Source organism: Homo sapiens, chromosome 15 (assembly GCF_000001405.40).
Source record: "Homo sapiens chromosome 15, GRCh38.p14 Primary Assembly".
NCBI classification, from domain to species: Eukaryota; Metazoa; Chordata; class Mammalia; order Primates; family Hominidae; genus Homo; species Homo sapiens.
Genome location: NC_000015.10, coordinates 20,502,152 through 20,527,265, shown reverse-complemented (window position 1 = coordinate 20,527,265; position 25,114 = coordinate 20,502,152). Strand labels below are relative to the sequence as shown.

Sequence of the window (25,114 nt, the reverse complement as noted above, 5' to 3'; positions counted from 1 at the left end):
ACCCAGCAAGTAGTAGCAGAGCCACGATACACCCACTGCCTGCAGACACCATCTCTGATGACAGCTCCACCTCCCCACAGGAATCTTGCCTACCCCCACCCCTACCTCCTGCTGCCCCTATGGTGGGTCTCTGTCCAAGGAAGATGTATCCTAGGTCCTCTAGGCTGACTGCGGCTCAGAGGAAACCTTGGCCCAGAGTGTAGGAGCTAGAGGGGTCCTTGGAATTCATGTGGGGAATTTGAGGCCCAAAGAAGGCAGTCCTCACATTTGAACTCTGTCTGGAGAAGGGCTAGGTCTTCTTCCTGAGTGGTAGTTTTGACTTCACCAGCCTGGCCCTCAGTCAAGCTGGCTGTCCAGGCCCGCCACACCTCGGGGTGGGTGACCAGAGGCGGTGGTGCCATAAAAACACGTTTCCTGGGAGATCCACCCCCAAAGCTCCAAACATTCCAGGGCTGGTGATTTGGGCAAGCCCCCTTCCCTCTCAGCCCAGTTTCCCCATCTCTGCAACAGCCGTGCTGGTGGAGACTTCTGATACTGAGCTGCAGATTTTCTCCTGGGTGCCTACACAGCCCAGGTTGCCGGCTCCTCTGTGCCCACTCTTCAAGAAAGTCAGCTCTTAGGTAAGGAAGGTGCCTTGGCCCTATCAGGAGCAGGAGCCGGTGCACCCCCAGCTTCCCAGACCAGTGGGGATGACCCAGGCTGCCTACAAAGCTGCTGCCCAGCCCAGAGACACCCGCCTGGGAGGGTGGCCCTGGCCCTTGCAGCGGCTCTGAGAAGAGTCGGCCCCCACTCCAAAACTGGCAGAGCCACCCATGCCTTCCCTCAGCCCAAAGAGGCTTTTAGGAACATGAATCGTCTCAAGTTCAAACCCATGGGGTTGCTGAAAGACAAGACAGTGCAGGGTGAGCTGGTGCGAGGGAGCGCTGCTCGGTGCAGACTTTGCAGGGAGGGCACTTAGGAAAAAGGACTGGAGTCTGGGAGGGTTAACTAGCTTAGGGTTAAAGGGAGGGGATGGAGCTGGAGTGAGCTGGCCTCGTCCTCCCCCTTGGGCCTTCCAGCCTGGGCTCAGGTGATTCAAGGGAGCAAGCACCTCCCTCTCCCAGCCAGGGAGTTCTCGCCACATTCTGCAATCAGTACCATTCCCCTGGGGGCTGGGTGACAGCCCCCACCTCTGGACCTGGCTGGAACTGCTGTCTCAATTCTAGATCCAAAAGAATCTCTGGCAGCTTCTCCATCTCCCTCTCAGTCCAGCCTCACCTCTTCGCCCGTGGAGGAGCTCCAACAGCAAATCTGGCAACTGGAGGAACAAGGCAGGAAGGGCAGGGTCTGAGGAAGGAACCACCTTCAAAAGGCAGCTCTGCCACCTTCTCTCCAGGACTCTCAGGCTTGCTTTCCTATTGCTCCCTCGACATCCTTTTGCTATAATCTGGCATGTTGACGTATAGTCTTTAAAAGCAACAATGCTGTTGACGTGGAGCAGACTTCCCATTTGGGATGGTTTGGAGAAGTTAGGTTTGAGGGCATCCTCTCTTCTGCAAACTGCAGCAGTAATAGATGAGATATACAAAGTAAATAAAGGCTGGGTGCGGTGGTCGTGCCTGTAATCCCAGCACTCTGGGAGGCTGAGGCAGGAGGATCACTTGAAGCCAGGAGTTCGAGACCAGCCTGGCCAATATGGCGACACCCTGTCTCTACTAAAAATGTAAAAATTAGCTGGGCATAGTGGTGCACACCTGTAGTCCCAGCTACTCAGGAGGCTGAGGCAGGAGAATCACTTGAACCCGGGAGGCAGAGGCTGCAGTGAAATGAGATCCCGCCACTGCATTCCAGCCTGGGCGACAGAGTGAGACTCCATCTCAAAAAATAAAAATAAAAAATAAAGTAAATAAAAAAGACATGCCCAGGCTGAAAAATAAGTTAATTATCTCCATGAACGAAAAGCAGACAAGAAATGCAAAGTGGTTGGAGGCTGAAGAGCCTGGACCCTCCTGGGCTTTGGGAACCAAAGATGGTGGCAAGTCCTTTGGGATAAAGAGGGACCAAATGACTCCTAGCTAGAAGCTGGGAGCTTGGGTGTACCCCAGTACTTGAAAGGATGCTAGCTGGGCGCGGTGGCTAATGCCTGTAATACCAGCACTTTGGGAGGCCGAGGGAAAGTAACTCTTATGTCAGTGTGAAGCAAATCAGACAGGACAGGGGAACATGGAGGGGAGGAGAGCCAAACCAGGGCCTGGTTCCAGACCCACCACACACGCCCCGTTGAGCCAGGAGCACAGGTGGCTCTCTGCACAACATCAAGAGCGAGGACATGCTTTCAGCTCCACTTTAACTCAGGTTCCTAATGTGACAGCAGGCTTGTCAATCCCACTTGCCCCCGTGGCTCACACCAGAAAACTACCAGCAGTGTGAGTAAGGACAGAAGCAGGAGACAGAGGAGCCAGGGTTGGGGAATCCCATAGCAACCCACAGGCCCTCATCACACACGGCAAGGATGCGCCTTCACTGGGCTCACCACCACCACTAGACATCACCTTCACTACATGATACCCTGCCTGGATAACACCACTGTAACACAAGAAACAGGTCTAGAATCTAACATGTATGCTACACCTGAAGGAGCAAGAGACGGTAATACAATACAATGAAATTTTTAGTTTATTTAATATAAAATTTAGAGCCATAATCAAAATGTGTAATTCTGATGGGATTCACTACTTATAAAAACTTCGCAGCACTCTATTTTCAAATGTAAATGGTATTCTGTGGCTCCTCGCCAGCATGTAAATAACGATCTACTCTGAAATACGTTTCACGGCTTATTTTTGGCAAGCAGCGATTTCTCCAACCCACGTTTTCCAAGGGAAAAAAGGACATGAAATGTCTCCAAAAGTCTCTTACGATCTTTAGATAAACTACTGTTCAACAACTGCATCTGCCAAGTCAACACATCAAGAATCCTTCACTCACAAACACTTAAGGTGAGAAAACAGTGTCTACCCATGCAGGAGAGGGACACATGATCCATGCTTATGAAGACAGCCTGGATATCGGCTACTGGAAAGCTGCGAATGCATTTTTCTTTTTCTACTTTCCAAAAGTTTTGTGAGGTGATACTTATTTCTATGTTTGTGTCTATTCTTTTTATTTTGTATTTTTTAGTAGGTACATCCTTACTATAAATCTGCTGTAGAACCAATGTCCCATACAGGACCCCACGTGCCACAGGAACCAAAAAGTCACACGCAGCGAAGACGAAGACACAGGAGACAACCTGTGTGGACAGCACAGAGCCACCTGCCCAGGACACCAATGGAGCCACAGGTGCAATTCAAAATGTTCTTAGTCGTATTAATAAACATGGCCAGGTGCGGTGGCTCACGCCTGTAATCCCAACACTTTGGGAGGCTGAGGTGGGCAGATTACCTGAGGTTGGGAGTTCAAGACCATCCTGGCCAACATGGTGAAACCCCATCTCTACTAAAAATACAAAAATTAGCCAGGTATGGTGGCATGCTTCTGTTAGTCCCAGCCACTCAGGAGGTTGAGGCAGGAGAATCATTTGAACCCAGGAGGCAGAGGCTGCAGTGAGCTGAGATCGTGCTACTGCACTCCAGTCCAGGCAACAGAGTGAGGATCCATCTCCGGGTGGGGAAAAAAAATTGTTCTTAGTCACATTAACAAAAGTAAAAAAAAAAAACAAAAAACACACCAACAAGAAAAACAACAACACATAAAATTAATTGTAATAATGGCTGGTTGCAGTGGCTCATGCCTGTAATCCCAGCACTCTGGGAAGCCAAAGCGGGCAGATTACTTGAGGTCAGGAGTTCGAGACCAGCCTGGCCAACATGGTGAAACTCTGTCTCTACAAAAATACAAAAATCAGCCAGGCGTGGTGGTAGTCCCAGCTGCTCGGGAGTCTGTAGTCCTGTAGTCCCAGCTGCTCAGGAGGCTGAGGCAGGAGAATCACTTGAACACAAGAGGCGGAGGTTGCAGTGAGCCAAGATTGCACCACTGCACTCCGGTCTGGTCAACAGAGTAAGATTCCATCTTAAAAAATAAAAATAATTTTAATAATGTATCATAGTTATTCCAACAGATCAAAAATATGACCATTTCAACATGAAATCAATCTAAGAAAAATTATTGAGATATTTTACATAGGTTATTTCATATTAAGTCCTCAAAAACCATCTGAGTAGCTTACATATGTAACACATTTCAATTTGGACCGTGAAATTTGCATTGAAAACATCTGATCTCCATTTAGACTCATAAAATACACAGTTGACAAAGTAGACTCCCAAGGCCAAGTGATTCTAAACATACTTAAGTGCTTTCTAATAACAGAATCAAATTTTCAAACCTGCATTTTAATGAATAAAAATTAAACAGATAAAATATTCAGTGTCTCAGCTATGACGGACAGACTTCAAGTGCTGATCAGCAAACGGTGTTGAGTGTAGCCAGATGGGCCAGCGCAGGCTACACAGCTGCAGCTCAAACAGCACAGCTGCAGGTCAAACAGGCCAGTCTCTCTGCGCACGGGAACAGTCTGGGCAAGCAGGAGACGGGGAAAACGGGCACTGCCCTCGTGAGAACAAAGGACCCACAACAGGAACCCTGCACTCACCCCCTGCCAAAGACCAACAGCCCCACGAAGCAGCCACTTCAGAAAAGGGAGAGGCATTCAAGAACTTAGAAAAGCACCTCTGGAAAATGCTCACTTTAAAACTTTGCATGTAACTGTACATTTTAATTACAAGGTTTTTAACATCCATTTTCTCATGTATTCTTAATTAACTCTGTGAAAGTAAACACAGCTTTTATTCTTACTCCTATAGTTACTGTGTTGGAAGTCCACCTATATGAACAAACTGTTGTAACTGAAATTTTCTGAGAACAAATCCCAAGCTCTTTCCATCGACACAAACTATATTGTTTAGTTCTCTTTATTTCCATTTGTTAAAGACCAGAATGTGTGAAATATGCATTATCAGATTAGAAAAACAAAACAAACATCAGAAAAAGGTTTTGCAAAATAGCATTTACTAAAATCTATGACAGAAACTAGCTCTAAAACTTCCTGTTTCAAAATTTCACTGTGTGTGCACTAAGTTAGTTTTTCTGGCTGTGGACAGCAGGCCCACCCCATGCCGCGGGCCCACCCCACGCCGCAGGCCCACCCCACGCCACAGGCCCACCCCACGCCACAGACCCACCATGGCCCCATGAACAGGCCAGCTGAGAGCTGCAGCCACTGCCCAGGGCTCCCTGGTCTGTACTCGGCTGCCTGACCCAAGCTGCCAGGGCTCTGCTTTCTCTATGTGTAGAAACAAAAACCAGGAGCATCAGTTGACGAAAAGCAGATTTTTATTGAACAGAGGTATAAATGTGTTTCATTTTCTAATAAATCTCTTTCACAAATCACCTTGCTGTTTCGCTCTTCTTGAATGATCATTTTTACACAACACTGTCTGACTGTTTTGGCTTCTGCCAAGGTTAGCGTCTGTTCACAGGCTGAGTCTGACTTCTTCCTCCCACCTCCTCCTAGTCTGGCCTTCCAAAATAATGCTCACCATTCTATCACATTGACTTCAGTTTTGAAAAGAAAAGTTATCTTACAAAGTAGTATGTATAACTCTGTAATATATAAAGTGAGGCAATGATACAATCAGTTTTAAAAATAACCTTCCATGATGATTTTCATTTGCATCCACCTGCTTATTAGTAAGAATCTTTTTACATGTTTACTGCACGCCCCAATTTCTCTTCAGTGAAAAACTTTTGAGTATCATCACACCCTCCAACTTCTCCTCTCACCTATATTGAAAAGGGTCTGCTCTTTATCCTAACATCTATACTAGGTAATTTTCAGAATATTCCTTCAATCATCAAACAAATTTTTGAGATCCTTGCGCTAGATTTCACTATCTTAATATGAAAACCAATAATCACCTATTAAAATACAATACAGGCCAGGCACAGTGGCTAACACCTGTAATCCCAACATTTTGAGAGGCCAAGGCAGGTGGGTCACCTGACGTCAGGAATTTGAGACCAGCCTGACCAATATGGTAAAACCCCATCTCTACTAAAAATACAAAAATCAGCCAGGTGTGGTTGCAGACGCCTGTAGTCCCAGCTACTCGGGAGGCTGAGGCAGGAGAATAGCTTGAACCCAGGAGGCGGGGGTTGCAGTGAGCCAAGATCGTGACACTGCACTCCAGCCTGGACGATAGAGCAAGACTCCATCTCAAAAAAAAAAAAAAAAAAAAAAAAAACACCATTAATAAGTAAATAAATAGGCCAGGCGTGGTGGCTAATGCCTGTAATCCCAACATTTTGATAGGCCAAAGTGGATGGACCACCTGAGGTCGGGAGTTCAAGACCGGCCTGACCAACATGACAAAACCCTGTCTCTAATAAAACTACAAAATTAGTGGGGCATGGTGGCGCATGCCTGTAATCCCAGCTGCTCGAGAGGCTGAGGCAGAGGAATTACTTGAACCTGGGAGGCGGAGGTTGCAGTGAGTCAAGATCGCACCACTGCACTCGGGCCTGGGCAACAAGAGCGAAACTCTGTCTCAAAAAACAAAAAAGTAAATAAATAAAACACAATACAATACAGCTAATATGATTTACCTAAGAAGCTGTTGTATGAGCTGAACCAGAGGCAAACACTGTTTGCCAGAAGACTCACAGATCCCCGTATTAATAAGGTCTTTATCCAATGGAGTCCTCCTTCTATGAAATGTTGAGGCATTTGCTTCCTGTTCATAAATTTCTTTTTCCTTCCGTGCTTCTTTTTTTGTATCCTGTAATTGATAAACAGAAATTGTTTACAAGTGATCTCATTACCAGGTGTGAAGGCACACAGGCTGGCTGAGCCCTGACCCCAGTGCCAAGCTATCCCAGCCTCTGTGGCTGCCACACCCATCCACCCACAGGCCCCCACCTGCCCTGTTGGAAACCCCAACTCATCTGTGCAGTTTCAAACAGTGTCTTCTTTTTACAGATCCAAGGTCTAGGCTGCCTCTGCTGATGCTCTCCAGCCTCCTTCTGTGAAGTCCCTAAAATCCTTAACCCTGCTAATGGCTCACACAAAACCCAATGTGATCGGCTCCACACACACAGCATCCAGCTGCTCTGTAAGGACAAGAAGGAGCTAGAATTCTCACACACAAAAGTCCTGGTTCAAATGCAAATGGCAAAGCCACTTTGGGAAACTATGAACACACACTAACCCCAGGACCTAACAAATTCCACTCCAAGTGTTTATCCAAAGGGAGAACATATGTTCACTAAAGTACTTGTTCACAGCACAATTGTGGCAGCTCTACACGGCCAAAAACCAGAAAGCCTGGGCGCGGTGGCTCATGCTTGTAATCCCAACACTTTGGGAGGCCAAGGTGGGGGGATCACTGGAGCCCAGGAGTTGAAGACCAGCCTTGCAACACAGTGAAACCTTGTCTCTACAAAAAAATCAAAAAACTAGCCGGGCATGGTGACATGTATGTGGTCCCTGCAACACAGGAGGCTGAGGTGGGAGGATCATTTGAACCTAGGAGTACAAGGCTGCAGTGAGCCAACATCAGGTCACTGTATACAGCCTGGGTGACAGAGCAAGACCCTGTCTCAAAAAAAAAAAAAAAAAAAGAAAACAAAAACCAAAAACAATTACATGTCCTTCAATAGGAGAATGAACTAACAAACAGTACTACACCTATAAAATGGAAAACTTCCCAATAATAAAAACGAAGTCGCAATACACACAACAGTGAGTGAATCTGAAAATCATTCTCCAAGGCAAAGCAGGAAAGAGTGCATACTATACAGTTATATTGCTGCGACACTCAGAGCAGGAAAAATGAATCTAATCTCAGGGCAGGGGAGTATCCTGGCTGCAAGTGCCAAGGAGCACAGGGATCTTTCCGGGTGACGGGAATGGTCTACATGAGGAACAGGTTACCTGTTAACTTCACTGAAACAGACAACATGCAGTATTTTATCACAAATCATCTCAATAATTTTTAAAATTAGCACATAAAAGAATTTTAATTTAAAAAAATACTTGGATATAAGTTTAGTGTTTTACTGTTTTCAGTTATTCTTCACATGTGTGAGTGTGGTATTTCTGATCTCAGCCCACCACCAGGTCACGTGTGCCTCCAAGGCCATACCTGGATCTCTGCAGTAATGGCTGCGTGTAAGGCTGACTCCAACCCTCCATCAGCCATCAGGCTGCCCACCAGAAGATCAATCACCAATCGATGACCTGGACTTATGCTCACTTCATTGCCTGAAACTGAAATAGAAAGTGTGTGCCAATTTGAGTGAAACGCCATCCCCTCCCAGCACCCTGACCCATGCCCTCTCCTGTTCCTTCCCCGAGCCCACCTCCGCAGGACAGGAGAGCAGAGTGCCCGGGCCTGCTTCTCAGCGGTGGGCAACAGCATGGACCAGCCGCTCTGCAGCATGGCCTGGGAGGCCGACTGCACGGTGCTCAGCACGTCTGCGCTGCTTGCCAGGGTCACCACCTTCTGCTTCAGGCTGTTCAGGAAGACGCTGCCCAGACCTAAACCAAGGAATTCCAGGTCAACCTGGTGACTAATGGCAGCATGCAACTGAAAGGAGAAAAACAATTTTCACTTAGAACCCCTAAAAATGAGTGAATTTCAAAGTCTTATTAAACACTGAATAAAAGTCAATTTGAAGTATTATCTAAATAGACAAAATAACTTCTCAGTTTACGTATTTTTAAAAACTGGACTAAAAAAACTCTTACCCACAATAGTTGAAGTATTTTCTAGAGGAATTTTTTTTAACCCCACTATGAACACATATATGGAAAAGCTCAAGATGAGCAGAAGAGCTAAACAACTAGCAACAGCAACCTCCACCCGCCCCAACAATCTGCACCAAACACAGAAATAATGGCTACAATGTAACCACAAAAGCTGCCACAGGCGGTGGCTCATGCCTGTAATCCCAGCACTTTGGGAGGCCGACGTGGAAAGCTCACTTGAGATCAGGAGTTCAAGATCAGCCTGGCCAACATGATGAAACCCCATCTCTATAAAAAAATCAGCCGGGTGTGATGGTACACACCTGTAGTCCCAGCTACTTGGGAGGCTGAGGCAGGAGAATCACTTGAACCTGGCAGGCCAAGACTGTACCACTGCATTCCAGCCTGGGTGACAAAGTGACACCCTGTCTAAAAAAAAAAAGAGCTGCTAAAAATTAGACTGCGGAGCTGAGAGTACACAGGGAAACTCCTCAAGTGCAAAACCAAAATTCACGTGGGCACACACAGCAGGAGTCAAGAGGTTCCGGGCTCTGAAAGCAGAGCCAAGCCGCCAGGCTTCAGCACAACCTCCCACACGGGAATGCACACAAGGACCCACTGAACCCGAGCTTCCTGCAGAAGGCTGGGAGCCACTCAGGATCACCTGCCTGCCAGCCAACCGCAGCCAGGGGGCAACACACTGCCCGTCCCAGGCTTTGGGTAGCAAGAGGCCCCATGAGAAATCAGAGACCCGGCCTTGCCCTGTGAGTAGAAGTGAAATCAAAAGCACACCACTCATCTAGGTATAGATATCACAGGTCAGGAAATGACCACCGAAACTCACCTGGAGTCTGTGAAACCTACAGAACCCTCAGGACCCCGGAGAGGCAAATGCAAAACCATACGCTGGGACACCTCGACAGCCTAAGACATACACAAGGCCACGCCCCACAGCACTGACCAGAACAGACACATCACCGCAAACCAGGAGGGGCAGCAAACACCTGGGGCGCAACCATGCAAATGCCAGGATGCCACAGATATGGTGATAAATGAGTGCTACAGAGGACTAGAGGAGAAGCATGCTCCAGACCTCTGCTCAGTTCATTACTGCAACTAAACACTACACTCAGTTCTGTACATTCTAGAAGCAGGGCAAAAAGGGGAGGGGCTGGAAGAGGGACATGATGGGTTGTTACAAGAAACCACTGTAATAAAAGGGAAAAATTACTATGTCGAGAAAACCGTGGTTCTTGTCATTAAGTTAGAGGGTTTTATTAGAAAGACAAAAGATGATGATCAAACACTTCAGCTTTAGTTTTGCTAGGGAGGAAGGCTTTTGTAGCTTTTATTTTGACCCTAACCACAGCCTTCATGGTGAGGAAAGGAAGGTATTGCTTTGGGAGCCGAGCTTACTGAGTAGATCAAGCTTGTTCAACCCACGGCCCGAGGGCAGCATGTGGCCCAGGGCAGCTTTGAATGTGGCCCAAAGTAAAATTTCTTAAAACATCATGAGATATTTTTGGGATTCTTTTTTTAAGCTCATCAGCTATCATAAGTGTATTTTATGTGTAGCCCAAGACAATTCTTCTTCCAGTGTGGCCCAGGGAAACCAAAAGACTGGACCCTCCTGGAGCAGGGTTTTCACAGGACAGAGGAGAGACAGGCCAGCACTGGTCTCTCAGCTGAGCGCTGTCTCTCTCCATCACCTGTGATCTCACCCAGTCATTTCTCCACACGCAACAACAGTAAAACAGTAAGAATACCAACAAACTAATGATTATAGCAAAAATAACACAATCCATATACACTCTTCCTGCATGCCGAGGCTGACTTCCAGGACAAACATAAAATAAACAGATCAAGTTTTTTAAGCCTTGCGTCCATTATTAGTGCATTACAATCTTACTTTAAAATACTTCCCCCAGCAGGCTAAAACCTATGTCCTTCAAAATACATAAACCTTCTTACAAATCGCTAAGACACTTATAAAAGGAGCAAGAGGAAGGGAAATCACGAATACCTGAAGTCGGGGAAGATTCAGCGTTGCCACGGCCACGCACTCTTTCTCCTGGGGCGGGGGCCAGTCCGTGGAGCCATCCATCCCCTCACTCACCTGCCGAAGCAGGAGATCCAGCTGCTCAAAAGTCACTGAGCAAATATCCACCCCAAAAGGGACATGGAGGCCAATGGACCACTCAGAACACGATGACCAAGCAATGCTCTAAGAGGAAACGCAACAATCGGAAATGAATCTCCAAATGCAGCTCTTGGTCTGTCGCACAGGAGTCACCAGCTTGTGTGATGGAGCTGCCTTATATTATTACCTATCATCCCTCTAACTGCCCAGTGGAAAAGCATTCATGGGTGTCTAGCTCACACACTATCAGCTTCCAATTCTCCCACCCATTTCACTAGCCCCATCTCACTTGGCCATACCTAAAAAAGTAAAAACATTTTAAAAAATCTTTTCACTCTCAAAATGATTAATGCACATTAATGGATGGCAGTGAGGCTCTCCATCCACTTGAAGTGGTATAATAGCAACTCTAACTAGACAATGAATTGTTAGACACATATAACACACACAATATCTTTCATAGTGAGAGAACAAGTAATCGGCAAAAATCTAGGAGAACTGTAGAACACCTTCAATAAACTGGATCTAATTTATAGAACACTTCACCCAACAACAGCAAAATACATATACTTTTTTTTTTTTTTGAGACAGAGTCTCGCTCTGTCGCCCAGGCTAGAGTGCAGTGGCGGGATCTCAGCCCACTGCAAGCTCTGCCTCCTGGGTTCACGCCATTCTCCTACCTCAGCCTCCTGAGTAGCTGGGACTACAGGTGCTCACCACCACGCCTGGCTAATTATTATTATTTTTTTAATTTTTATTTTTAGTAGAGATGGGGTTTCACCATGTCAGCCAGGATGGTCTTGATTTCCTGACCTCGTGATCCACCTGCCTTGGCCTCCCAAAGTGCTGGGATTACAGGCGTGAGCCACCGTGCCCGGCCATACATACACTTTACATATACTTTTTTTAAATTTTATTTTTTTTGAGATGGAGTCTAGCTCTGTCGCCCAGGCTGGAGTGCAGTCGCATGATCTCAGTTCACTGCAAGCTCTGCTTCCCAGGCTCAAGCCAGTCTCCTGCCTCAGCCTCCCAAGTAGCTGGGACTACAGGCACCCGCCATCATGCCCGGGTAATTTTTTTTGTATTTTTAGTAGAGACGGAGTTTCACCCTGTTAGCCAGGATGGTCTCGATCTCCTGACCTTGTGATCTGCCTGCCTCGGCCTCCCAAAGTGCTGGACCATACATATACTTTTTAAGCACATACAGACCATACATATACTTTTTACACATATATGTATACATATATGTATATACAGACCATACATATACAGACCATACATATACTTTTTAAGCACATACAGAATGTTCACTGAGAACATAACCTGACACATAAATCTTAACAAATTTAAAAGAAATGAAATCATATGCAGTTTGTTCTCCAATCACAATGGTATTAAACTAGAAATCATTAACAAAACAATCTGCAAACACTTCAAAATAAAACAACATACTTAATAATCCATGGGTCAGGCCGGGCGCACTGGCTCACGCGTGTAATCCCAACACTGTGGGAGGCCAAGTTGGGGGGATCACCTGAGGCCAGGAGTTGAAGATCAGCCTGGCCAACATGGAGAAACCCCATCTCTACTGAAAATACAAAACAATTAGCCGGGCATGGTGGCGGGTGCCCGTAGTCCCAGCTAATCAGGAGGCTGAGGCAGGAGAATCGCTTGAACCCAGGAGACAGAGGTTGCAGTGAGCCGAGATCATGTCATTGCACTCCAGCCTGGGCAACAACAGTGAAACTCCGTATTGAAGAAAAATAATAATAATAATAATCATCATCATCATCATCCATGGGTCAAAGAACAATTCTCAAAAGAAATTAGAAAATATTTTGAACATAAATGAAAATGCACCAAAATTTGTGGGGTTAATTAAAGCACTGCTTAGAGGAAAATTTATAGCATCAAATCATTATATATTACAAAAAAGATAGGTCTAAATCAGCAATCTAAGTTTCCACCTTAAGAAACCAGAAAAAGAGCAAAGTGAACGCAAAACAAGCCAAAGGAACAAATGCCAAGATAAAAGCAGAAACTAATGAGATTGAAAGCAAAAAAAGAAGGGAAAAATTAATGAAACTTAAAGATCATTCTTTGAAAAGATCAACAAAATTGAAAAACTCTAGGAAAACTGACAAAGAAAAAAACAGAAAAGATACAAATTATCAGTATCAGGAATGAATGAAGGGACATCACTGCAGGCCCCACAGACTTCAGACGGTTAGCAAGAGAACACTAAGGAAAACTTGACACTTAAAAATCAGACAACTTAGATGAAATAAAGCAATGTCCGAGTGCCACAAACCAGGAAAATCCTCCTAGAAACAAACAGGTTACCTGAATAGTTCTGTATCTGTTAAATAAATTGAATTTGTAAAAAAATTTTTTTTTTTTTTGAGCCTGAGTCTCACTCTGTCACCCAGGCTGGAGTGCATTGGTGCAATCTCAGCTCTCTGCAATCTCTGCCTCCCAGGTTCAAGTGATTCTCCTGCCTTAGCCTCCTGAGTAGCTGGGATTACAGGCGCACGTCACCAAGCTCGACTAATTTTTTGTATTTTTAGTAGAAACGGGGTTTCACCATGTTAGCCAGGCTGGTCTCAAACTCCTGACCTCAGGTGATCCACCTGCCTCGGCCTCCCAACGTGCTGGGATTATAGGCACGAGCCACCGTGCCCGGCGTAAAATCTTTTAGAAAGAAATCTCCAGGTTCAGATGGATTCAAAAACATTTAAAGAAGAAATAACACTAATTCTACACAATCCCTTAGAGAAAATGGAAAAGGAGGGAACACATGCCAATACTTTGTATAAGGTCAGCTTTCCCCTGACAGAAAGCCAGACGAGATAGTGTAATACAAAGAAAGAAAACTGCAAACCAACATCCCTGATGAGCATCAACAGAAAAATCCTCAAAAACGTGTTAGCAAGTCAAATTTAGCAATATAGAAACAGAATAGGGCCGGGCGCAGTGGCTCACGCCTGTAATCATAGGAATATTGGGATGCCAAGGAGGGTGGATCACTTGAGGTCAGGAGTTGGAGACCAGGCTGGCCAACATGGTGAAACCCCATCTCTACTAAAAACAAACAACAAACAAACAAAATTAGCCAGGTGTGGTGGTGCACACCTCTAATCCCAGCTACTCAGGAAGCTGAGGCAGGAGAATTGCTTGAACCCAGGAGGCAGAGGTTGCAGAGAGCTGAGATTGCACCAATGCACTCCAGCCTGGGTGACAGAGTGAGATTCTGTCTCAAAAAAAAAAAAAAAAAAAAAAGAAAGAGAGTAGTAAATTGTGGCCAAGTGATGCCTATCCCAGTAACACAAGGCTTGGTCAGTATTTAAAAATCAGGCTGGTATAGTGTCTCACACCTGTAATCCCAGCACTTTGGGAGCTCACTGCAACCTCAAACTCTTAAGCTCAAGCAATCCTCCTGCCTCAGCCTCCTGAGTAGCTGAGACTACAGGTGCACACCAGCATGCCACGCTAATTTTTAATTTTTTTGTAGAGATGGGATCTCGCTGTGTTGCCCAAGCTGGTCTCTAACTCCTGGGCTCAAGTGACCCTCTCGCCTATGCCTCCCGAAGTGCTGGTGTGAGCTGTTGCACCCAGCCAAAATACGGCAGATTTGTAGTACCCCAGAAGGCTCCTTCCTGACCTACACTTTCCCACAAAGGAAACTACTCTTCTGACTTCAATCATCGTCAGTTCTGCCTTCCTGCGCTTCATCTAGGTGGGCTGGTACTGTGCACTGTCTCTCATACCTGGCTCCCTCTATTCACCCATGTCGTTGAGTGTTCCTACCACTTCATTTTTCTTTTTTGGCTGTGTAGTATTCCATGATGTGACTGTATCACCATTTATTCACTCTCCTGTTGATGGACACTTAGGTTGTTTTCATTTGGGGCTCTTATGAATAAAAATGGCAGTGAACATTCTTATATAAGTCTTTTTGTGGACATATGCACTCGTTTCTCTTGTGTACATGCTTAGGATGGAATTTCTGAACGTAGGCATAGATATAGCTTTAGTAGAAGCTGCCAAACAGGTTTCCAATGTGCTTATACAATTTTATGCTACTGCCAGCTTGACAGTTCTTGTAGCTCTACATCTTTACCAATACTCTGTATAACACAGCATTTAACTTTAAATAGAGATAAAACGATGGTAAGATCCAAAGAAGTGTGCATGTTCCTGAAGAACATCCAGTAAAGGGCCTATTTTATTCATCTGTTTCGGGCACTGAAAACCACTGCATGGCCGGATGAGGAAGGAGGCCTGGTACAACTCCCAAGAAGGCATGTGTCCCTCGGGTGGGCTTTGTTTCCCAGAAACTCTGGGGAAGGGGTGGAGAGGCACCTTCTGGGCCAGCTGGTCTCCTCTGGCTTTTCTTGTACCCTAGGGCTCCCTCCAAAGAGACAGAGAACAGCCTGGCCGGGGAGCAGTATCTCCTACTGCGCTTGCTGTGAGCCAGCCACTCTGCCTTCTTTCAGGAATTACAAAATCCACAGGTCCCCGGCATCCTTATTTATGTATTTATTCATTTATGAGGCATGGTTTTCCTCAGCTCTGTTGGATGGGTCTCTGTGAAGGGAGCTTGGTGGGGGCGAGTGGCCCCTCCCTGGAGGAGGCAGGCCCCTGGTCAGGATCTTTGGGGCTCCAGGTCTCATAAGTGGGGGGCCAGGCTCCCTAGAGAAACCCTTCTTGGCTAGGGCTGGGGAGCCCACCAGAGTGACCCAATCAGTTCTCAGGGCCTGTGATGGGGCCAAGTGGTTTTGAGAAGCCAGTGTTCAGCTCCATCCTAAAGAGCACTCATGCACGTTGGGGAGGAGGGCCGGGGTGCACAGCTCTGACCTGAGTCAGACCCACCTCAGGACTTAGCCCAGCAGGAGGCCCAGAGTCACTGACCATAAAACGAGCAGATGCCTCCCCCGTGCTGATGGAGATGAGTCTTGGGCATCAACTCTAATAATTTCTAACTGCACCCAGAAATACTGATTCACACAGCAACTAGTGAATAATAGCCTTTTAGAGCTAAAAAAGCCTCATATATTATAAATTAACATATGCATTTTACACAAACTAGAGGCACCGTGGTGGGCCAGCAGCAGCCTGTTCAGGGGCCACAACAAGGGAGATTGGATTTCCTTAAGTGCAATGGGAGTTACTGGCAAGGCTTTAAGGTTTTAGCCACAGGAAAGATGAAAGTATTTTAGAGCAATGTGGGTGGATTCAAAGTGAGGTTTTGAACTAGATCAGTTTTTTTTTTTTTTTTTTTTTTTTTAGACAGAGTCTGACTCTTATTGCCCAGGCTGGAGTGCAGTGGTGCTATCTTGGCTCCCTGCAACCTCTGCCACCCAGGTTCAAGCAATTCTCCTGCCTCAGCCTCCTGAATAGCTGGGATTACAGGCACCTGCCACCAAGCCCGGCAAATTTTTGTATTTTTACGGGGTTTCACCATCTTGGCCAGGCAGTTCTTGAACAACTCCTGACCTCGTGATCCACCTGCCTTGGCATCCCAAAGCATTAATTTTTTTTTTTTTTTTTGAGACGAAGTCTTGCTGTGTCGCCCAGGCTGGAGTGCAGTGGCCCGATGTCGGCTCACTGCAAGCTCCGCCTCCCAGGTTCACGCCAGTCTCCTGACTCAGCCTCCCGAGTAGCTGGGACTACAGGCGCCCGCCACGATGCCCAGCTAATTTTTTGTATTTTTTTTAGTAGAGATGGGGTTTCACCGTGTTAGCCAGGGTGGTCTCAATCTCCTGACTTCCTGATCTGTCCGCCTTGGCCTCCCAAAGTGCTGGGATTACAGGGGTAAGCCACCACGCCCCTCCAAGTATTAAATTTTTTATTTAAAAAATCTCCCCTCTCCAAAGATCTCCCAGCATTTCTGCAGAGGTCTCTACCTAGGTAAGGAGAAGAAACTATTCTTGGCCGGGTACAGTGGCTCACGCCTGTAATACCAGCACTTTGGAAAGCCAAGGTTGGAGGATTCCTTGATCCCAGAAGTTCGAGACCAGCCTGGCCAACATGGTGAAACCCCATCTTTACCAAAAATACAAAAATTAGGTGGGTGTGGTGGAGTGTGCCTGTAGTCCCAGCTACTCAGGAGGCTGAGGTAGAAGGATCGCTTGGGCCTGGGAGGTCAAGTCTGCAGTGAACCAAGGTGGTGCCACTGCACTCCAGCCTGGGTAACAGAGTGAGATCCTGTCTCAAAAAAAAAAAATTATTTGTGAGGGTGAAATTTAAATACCTTTGTGCATAGCTATCAGTTATTCTTTGTTTTAATATTTAGTTTATTGTGAAATATAACACATATAGAAACATACATAAAACAACACACAGGGCCAGGCCCGGTGGGTCACGCCTTGTAATCCCAGCACTTTGGGAGGCCGAGGCGGACGGATTACTTGAGGTGAGGAGTTTGAGACCAGCCTGGCCAACATGGTGAAACCCCATCTCTACTAAAAATACAAAAATTAGTCAGATGTGGTGGTGCATGCCTGTAATCCCAGCTACTTGGGAGGCTGAGGCAGGAGAATCGCTTGAACCTGGGAGGCAGAAGTTACAGTGAACCAAGATTGTGCTACTGCACTCCAGCCTGGGCAACGGAGTCAGACTGTGTCTAAAAAAAAAGAAAAAAAATAAAGGCTGGGTGTGGTGGCTCACGCCTGTAATCCCAGCACTTTGGGAGGCCGAGGCGGGCAGATCCCTTGAGGTCAGGAGTTCGAGACCAGCCTGACCAACATGGAGAAACCCCATCCCTACTAAAAGTACAAAATTAGCCGGGCATGGTGTTGCATGACTGAAATCCCAGCTACTTTGGAGGCTGAGGCAGGAGAATCGCTTGAATCTGGGAGGTAGAGGTTGTTTTGAGCTGAGATCACGCCATTGTACTCCAGCCTGGGCAACAAGAGCGAAACTCCGTCTCAAACAAACAAAAAACAAAACAAAAACAAAAAACACAGTGTAACATGTTATTATAAAGTCACTGCTCAGGGACCAACTTGGCCGCTCCTGTGCCTCTAGAGGGAAGCTCCTTCCCACTGTTCTTTAGAGTTTTATATGTTAAGTACAGGAGTCAACAAACTAGGCCTATGCACCACATCTGGCACCCAGCCTTTATTTATTTTTTGAGATGGCGTCTCACTCTGTCACCCTGGCTGCAGTGTGGTAGCACAATCTCGGCTCACTGCATCCTCCACCTCCCAGATTCAAGCAATTCTCCTGCCTCAGCCTCCTGAGTAGCTGGGATTACAGGTGTGTGCCACCACACCCGGCTAATTTTTATATTTTTGGTAGAGACGGGGTTTCACCATGTTGGTCAGTCTGGTCTCGAACTCCTGACGTCAGGTGATCCGCCTGCGTTGCCCTCTCAAAGTGCTGGGATTACAGGCATGAGGCATGATGCCTGACCCAGCCTTTTTTAAAATGAAGGTTTCGGCTGGCGCGGTGGCTCATGTCTGTAGTCCCAGCATTTTGGGAGGCCAAGGCAGGTGGATCACCTGAGGTCAGTAGTTGGAGACCACCCTGGCCAACATGGTGAAACCCCGTCTGTATCAAAATACAAAAATTAGCTGGGCGTGATGGCAGGCACATGTAATGCCAGCTACTCGGGAGCCTGAGGCACGACAATCACTTGAACCCGGGAGGCGGAGGTTGCAGTGAGCCAAGATCACATGATTGCACTCCAGCCTGGGCAACGAGCGAAACTCCATTTCAAAATACAATAATAAAAAAAAGGATGTCCTTTTTTGTCTCTCAACCCCGTTTTTTATTTTTTTTTATTTTCAGACAGGGTCTCGCTCTGTTGCCCAGGGTGGAGTGCAGGGGCCCGATCTTAGCTCACTGCGGCCTCAACTTCCCCAGCTCACATGATCCTCCCACCTCAGCCTCCCAAATAGCTGGGACCACAGGTGGGTACCACCATGCCCGCCTAATTTTTGTATTTTTTGTAGAGATGGGATTATGCCATGTTGCTCAGGCTGATCTCGAACTTCTGGGCTCAAGTGTCTCTCTGCCTCCACCTCCCAAAGTGCTGGGATTGCAGGCCTGAGCTACCATGCCCAGCCCTGCTTTAATTTAAAGTGTATTACATTTGATATTAGTACAGCCCCTTCAGCTCTTTTTTGGTTACTATTTTAATTGTATCTTTGTATCCCTTTACTTTCAATCTGTTTCTGTATTTAAAATGTTTATCTTGTAGATAGCACATTGGTGGATCATATTTTGTTCTTCAATCCTTTCAGCCAGTCTGCTTTTCTTTCTTTCTTTTTGAGACAGAGTTTTCCTTTTGTCACCCAGGCTGGAGCGCTATGGTGCGATCTCAGCTCACTGCAACCTCTGCCTCCTGGGTTCAAGCGATTCTCCAGCCTCAGCCTCCTGAGTAGCTGGGATTACAGGTGCGTGCCACCAGGCCTGACTAATTTTTGTATTTTTAGTAGAGACAGGGGTTTCTTCATGTCGGTCAGGCTGGTCTTGAACTCCTCACCTCAGGTGATCCACCGCCTCAGCCTCCCAAAGTGCAGGCATTACACGCGTAAACCACTGCGCCCGGCCAAAGTGGTGGATTTTTTTTCTCAGAAAATCTATTCCATTCTTTTTCCAGAAACCAAATTTGTACAAGTTAACTAAAATAAATATTTATACTCTAATTTTTTTGTTCTGAGGTCTGAGTTTTTAGAATTTTATCTTTACATGTTTAGAAAAATTAGAAAATATAGATAGAACATAACCAAGAAAATAATAACAACTTTCCTTCTGTTCAAAGTTCATTACTATTAGCCGAGTGCAGTGACTCACACCTGTAATCCTAGCACTTTGGGAGACTGAGGCGGGCGGATCACTTGAGCCCAGGAGTTCGAGACCAGCCTGGGCAACATGGCAAAATCCCGTCTACAAAAACTACAAAAATTAGCCAGGTGTGGTTCCATGTGCCTGCAGTCCCAGCTAGTGGCAAGGCTGAGGTGGAGAACCACCTGAACCCGGTAAGTCAAGGCTGCAGTGGTGCAGCCTCTGTCCCCCAGGCTGGAGTGCAGTGGTGCAATGTCGGCTCACTGCAACCTCCGCCTCCCGGGTTCAAGCGATTCTCCTGCCTCGGCCTCCCGAGTAGCTGGGATTACAGTCACGTGCCACCACACCTGGCTAATCTTTGTATTTTCAGTAGAGAAGGGGTCTCATCATGTTGGCCAGGCTGGTTTTGAACTCCTGACCTCAAATGATCCACCTGCTCTGGCCTCCCAAAGTGCTGGGATTACAGGCCTGAGCCACCACGCCCGGCCGTTATTTTTCTTTCTTAGAGGCAGGATCTCACTCTGTCGCCCAGGCTGGAGTGCAGTGGCACGATCTAAGCTCACTGTAGCATTGATCTCCCAGGCTCAGGCGATTCTCCTGTCTCAGCCTCCCGAGCAGCTGGGATCACAGGTGTGTGCCACCACACCTGACTAATTGTTAAATTTTTTTATTTTTATTTTTTAGAGATGGGGTCTTGCTATGTTGCCCAGTCTGGCAACATGGGATCCTCCAACTCCTGGCTTCGAGGGATCCTCCCGCTTCGGCCTCCCAAAGCGCTGAGAATTACATACGTGAGCCACCACGCCCGGCCTATATTGTTTTATAGTTCTTCAATTTTGTTTTGTGGTCGCTGGAGGTGTTTCCTTCTTCGATTCCCTGCACAGTGCTTCCACAGCTGCTCCATGGAATCTGCCCAAGACTTTTGCTGCGTTCAGTTGAACACACAGGAGGAAGCTCTTCAGGCCCCAGCCAGCCGACCGCACAAAGATGCGTTCTCATACCCAGGGGAGCTGGTCTCGCCACTCGACCCGCGCCCTGGATAGCTATAGTTAGTGTGAGCGCCACCACCCGCCGCGGCGCTCCGGGCCAAGCAGTCTCCCGTGGGAGTGCGGGAGTGCGTGCGTGCGGCGGAAATCCCGCCTTCCGGCGCCCGCTGTTGGCCTTGGCCGCAGCCAGGGCGCTCCAAGTAGGAAGATAAGCGGGATTGCTGGAAGCGGGAGAGTCGGGAGGAGCGGCGAAGGGCTCCTCTTCCCCATTGGCTGCGCCCACGGAGCAGCCTCGTTGCGATTGGCCGTACGCGGGGGGCGGCAGTCCCGCGTCGGCCCGCCCCTCGGGCCGCGAGAGGCGCCGGGATCGCGGGCGCCGGCTGAGCCAGCGGCTCTTGGGAGGCTGCGTCCGCGCGCCGGCGGGGCGGGGCGGCCGGGCCCTGCGCGTCAGGTCCTGGCCTGGGGCACCTGGGCGGCCGGTGGCGGGGGCGGTACGGGCGCGGGGCTGGCGGGCGGCCGAGCCCGGGAGGCGGGCGTGGGCGCGGCGGCCGCACCGGGGCCTGCGCGGACCACCCGCGGGGCAGCCTCGGGCCTCTCTCCATCTCTTAAGTGGTGGTGGCTGTGGGTTTTTCTGCAGGCGATCCTTTTGAGTAATTTGTTTCACGCACGCGCCCTGCTGTGGGGTAAAGCGGCAGATTCATGCTGCTGTCATTTGTCGTTAAAACGATGGGCTCCCTGTTATGTGTGTGTACTTCTTGGATTTGAGGGCAGGGGGATGACATTGTAACTTGGCTTCCTGTGACCGTCCATTCTCAAGGTCTCGTCAGCGTGGTGCAGAAACTCGGCACACCCTGCCTACCTTGGAAGGAGGCTTTCCCTTCCCCACCTCCCTCTCTCTCCATCTCTTCCCTCTTTCCCTCTCTCCCCTTCTCTCCCCTCCACCAGCTCTTCTCTCCCCCCTTTCTGTTCTCTCTCTCTTTTTTCTTTTCTGCATTGAACCTTTCGGGAGTGTCTTTGTAAACTATTAAAAAGCATTAGGTCTTCAGCGTATGTGTTTACTTGCAGGCCTGAGACCTGGGAGGAAGCTGGAGAAAAGATGCCCTCTGAATCTTTGTGTTTGGCTGCCCAGGCTCGCCTCGACTCCAAATGGTTGAAAACAGATATACAGGTGGGGTTTGACATGTCTTTTTCTTGGTGTGTTTCTGCTTCCATGTTTAAATTTCCCGTGTAAGGCTTTTTTTTAGGGTATGTAAGGGGAAGTCAGTTGTATCTTGCTGAATTAGAGGAGCAGGTTTATTTCCTGTAACTTAAAATGTAACAGTCTTATGGCTGTTTTTGTAGATCGTGCGCGGCTGCCTTTTAATTAGTTTCTTGCAAGTGCACGAAACTTGAGATCTATTAATAGAGAAAATTTTTTTCCTATTTATTATTACTGGTTAAGAAATCTGCCACACTCCTAACCATATCATGGTGACTGTTGTTTGTTACTGATCGTTTTTGAGCTGTTGAGTTAACTGTGGAGGGGAAAATTGGAGAAGTAAGTTGCAGTAATTATGGCCTATAGAAACTCACTCATTTTATGAGGTCTTGTGTTTGTGTTTCTGGAGAGACAAGAGTTAGTTCAGTTGAGCTGTTTGTTTTGTCTTTGTAACTCCTTATTAAGAGGAGTGCTCAGATTTTCACATCAAGAATATGAGGAAACAATGTTGGCCTTAGATCCTAATTTTTTGATTTAATGAGATAATTGCAAGCTTGTCAGGACATTATTAAATAAATAATAACGGTAATATTTCGATAGACAGTTCTTTACACCCAATCTACTTTTATTTGGAAATGGCTTGGAAAAACTACTTTTGGAACTCCTTATCAGCAGCAAAAAGAAGTGTTTGAAATATTTTGTGTGTGTCTGTATTTTCCTACTCCCTAAGGTTAACCATTTTAAGTATTAAGTAATGTGCCTTGACTGTTCATCAAAAGTCGTGTAGGCTGTTAAGCAGTAGTTGATCATGGATACTTACACTGAAGTGTTATTGCCCCTTCCTAATTTTTTTTTTCTTTTTAAACAGGTATTGAGTGTTGGTAGATATGAGAGTCCAGTGTTTAGAGCTGTGTTGTGTGGCTGGGCGCAGTGGCTCACGCCTGTAATCCCGGCAGTTTGGGAGGCCGAGGCGGGTGGATGCCCTGAGGTCAGGAGTTGGAGACCAGCCTGACCAACATGGTGAAACCCCGTCTCTACTAAAAATACAAAATGAGCCAGGCGTGGTGGTGTATGCCTGTAATCCCAGCCACTCGGGAGGCTGAGGCAGGAGAATCGCTTGAACCCGGGAGGTGGAGGTTGCAGTGGGTCAAGATTGTGCCGTTGCACTCCAGCCTGGACAATGAGAGCTTTTTTTTCAAAAAAAAAAAAAAAAAGCTGTTGTGGATGATGGGATTGTTATTCATAGTGTAATGTTACATAAGACAGAGTACAGAGAATTGGGTCAAGAATTGGTGTAGTTACTCTTTGGGTTTGTTTCTCTTTAAACATTTCCTTTGATTTAGCTATAATGATCTGTTTTGTCATTTTAAGTGGATGGGAGACGTGAGAGATGAGTACTTTCATATTTCTGAAATCCTGAGATTCAGGCAAAGTTTTAATAGTTGTTTTTATATTAGTGTTTATGTATTTTGAGAAACTTTTTGGAGTAAAGGACTTTACGTAATGAAGTTTTTTTCTTAATAATTGTAATTTAATAACTGCTAAACATGAGTTCTAGTGTCTTGATCTAAAACCAGTTTAATGCTGAATTGAGTTCCTATGATGGGTTGGGCAGATAAACATACAGTGAAGCACCATTTATATCTTAGAGGGCCTGTTGTTTTGATTTATTAAGTTTAATACACAGTACTTGGTCCTTGTTACACATTTCCAATATGATTAGAAAGTCTTTTTTTTTTTTTTTTTTTTTTTTGAGACGCAGTCTTGCTCTGTCGCCCAGGCTGGCGTGCAGTGGCGCAATCTTGGCTCACTGCAACTTCCGCCTCCCGAATGCAAGTGATTCTCCTACCTCAGCCTTCCGAGTAGCTGGGATTACAAGTGTGTGCCACCATGCATGCCCGACTAATTTTTGTATTTTTAGTAGAGATGGGGTTTCACTGTGTTGGCCTGGCTGGTCTCCTGACCTCAAAGCGATCTGCCTGCCTCGGCCTCCCAAATTGCTGGGATTACAGGCGTGAGCCACTGCACCTGGCCAAAAAAAAAAGTCATCTAAATTCCTCCTAGGAGTAAGGGAAATGACTAGGTTTTGGATAGTGTGCACCAGAGGAAAAATGTGTTACAGGTCTAAGTAGCATGAAAAAAGTGATTGCTAAGTTTTGTTTTATGTTCCACCAGCATTGGTTGTTAAACACAAGGAATGAATGGTGGTGTTTTACCGTAAGGAATAAGACATGGTTTCCCTCTTTGGGGAGCTTCCCTGCAGACAGGAATTGCAGATGGAAGCCTTGTGCTCACAGGTTTTACCCTTATCTTGTTGAGGATGGCTCTCCCAGCTGGAGTGGGAAGCGCTTCACTGCTTGAGACTTTTGTATTGGAAACAGAATTGACACCTGGGTAATGAATAATACATGGGATAGGAAGATGTTTCTTAGCCATAGGATTTAACCGATCTGTTTTCCACAGCTGTTTTTGTTTGAAATGCCCTTAAAAGTTTTAGTAACTTTAGAAAGGAAGAGTTTTTGGAGTGTGAAAACTTATAATGCTTGTGTGTTATAGAGAGCACTTATTGACTTCTTTATCATAGACATTATTTGGATACGTCAGGCCTAGGACCCTACATCCAGCAACCTCTAATGCAGGGCTCATTTTATGCCAGGCATATATATCTGGTTATTACATATAAACAGTTTAATTGTTCAACACTTTTTTTTTTTTTTTTTGAGACGGAGTCTCACTCTGTCTCCCAGGCTGGAGTGCAGTGGTGCCATCTTGGCTCACTGCAAGCCTCCTGGGTTCATGCCATTCTCCTGCCTCAGCCTCCCGAGTAGCTGGGACTACAGGTGTCCACCACCACGCCTGGCTAATTTTGTGTACTTTTAGTAGAGACAGGGTTCCACCATGTGGGCCAGGCTGGTTTTGAACTCCTGACCTCAAGTGATCCACCCGCCTCGGCCTCCCAAAGTGCTGGGATTACAGGCGTGAGCCACCGCGCCCGGCCTGTTCAACACTCTTTTCTGCTTGATGTGTGGAGTGATTGAATCACCATGTTTTCCTTCACTGCTCTCGTGAAGAGTAATACATTACAGAGGTAAGAGGTGTCAGTCACATCACTTTTTATTTTTACCGTGAAAGTACTTCTAATCTGATGTGATTGGTAGTTTTTTAGCAAACCAAAAAGTCAGTTAAGCAAAGGAATCATAAAAACCAAT

The 25,114-nt window shown here is 46.7% G+C and overlaps 2 pseudogenes across 1 annotated transcript in view, besides 1 other annotated feature; one reads left to right on the top strand and one right to left on the bottom strand.

Moving 5' to 3' along the window:
- Nucleotides 1-6,552: 6,552 nt before the first annotated feature.
- LOC100996379 (E3 ubiquitin-protein ligase HERC2) lies at nt 6,553-11,521 on the bottom strand (annotated as a pseudogene).
- A 9,564-nt stretch (nt 11,522-21,085) lies between these two features.
- Nucleotides 21,086-25,114, top strand: part of HERC2P3 (HERC2 pseudogene 3) — a 97,785-nt pseudogene continuing 93,756 nt past the window's right edge. Inside the window, exons 1-2 of the transcript NR_036432.1 lie at nt 21,086-21,158; nt 21,773-21,875. The product of NR_036432.1 is annotated as an HERC2 pseudogene 3 (transcript). The remainder of the gene's footprint in view (nt 21,159-21,772; nt 21,876-25,114) is intronic.
- Nucleotides 23,925-24,599: an enhancer, noted in NCBI's record as "OCT4-NANOG hESC enhancer chr15:20707920-20708594 (GRCh37/hg19 assembly coordinates)". NCBI's record gives its function as "activates a minimal SCP1, AML or CMV promoter by ChIP-STARR-seq in naive and primed H9 embryonic stem cells {active_cell/tissue: H9 hESC(naive and primed)}" and the evidence as "EXISTENCE:reporter gene assay evidence [ECO:0000049][PMID:30033119]".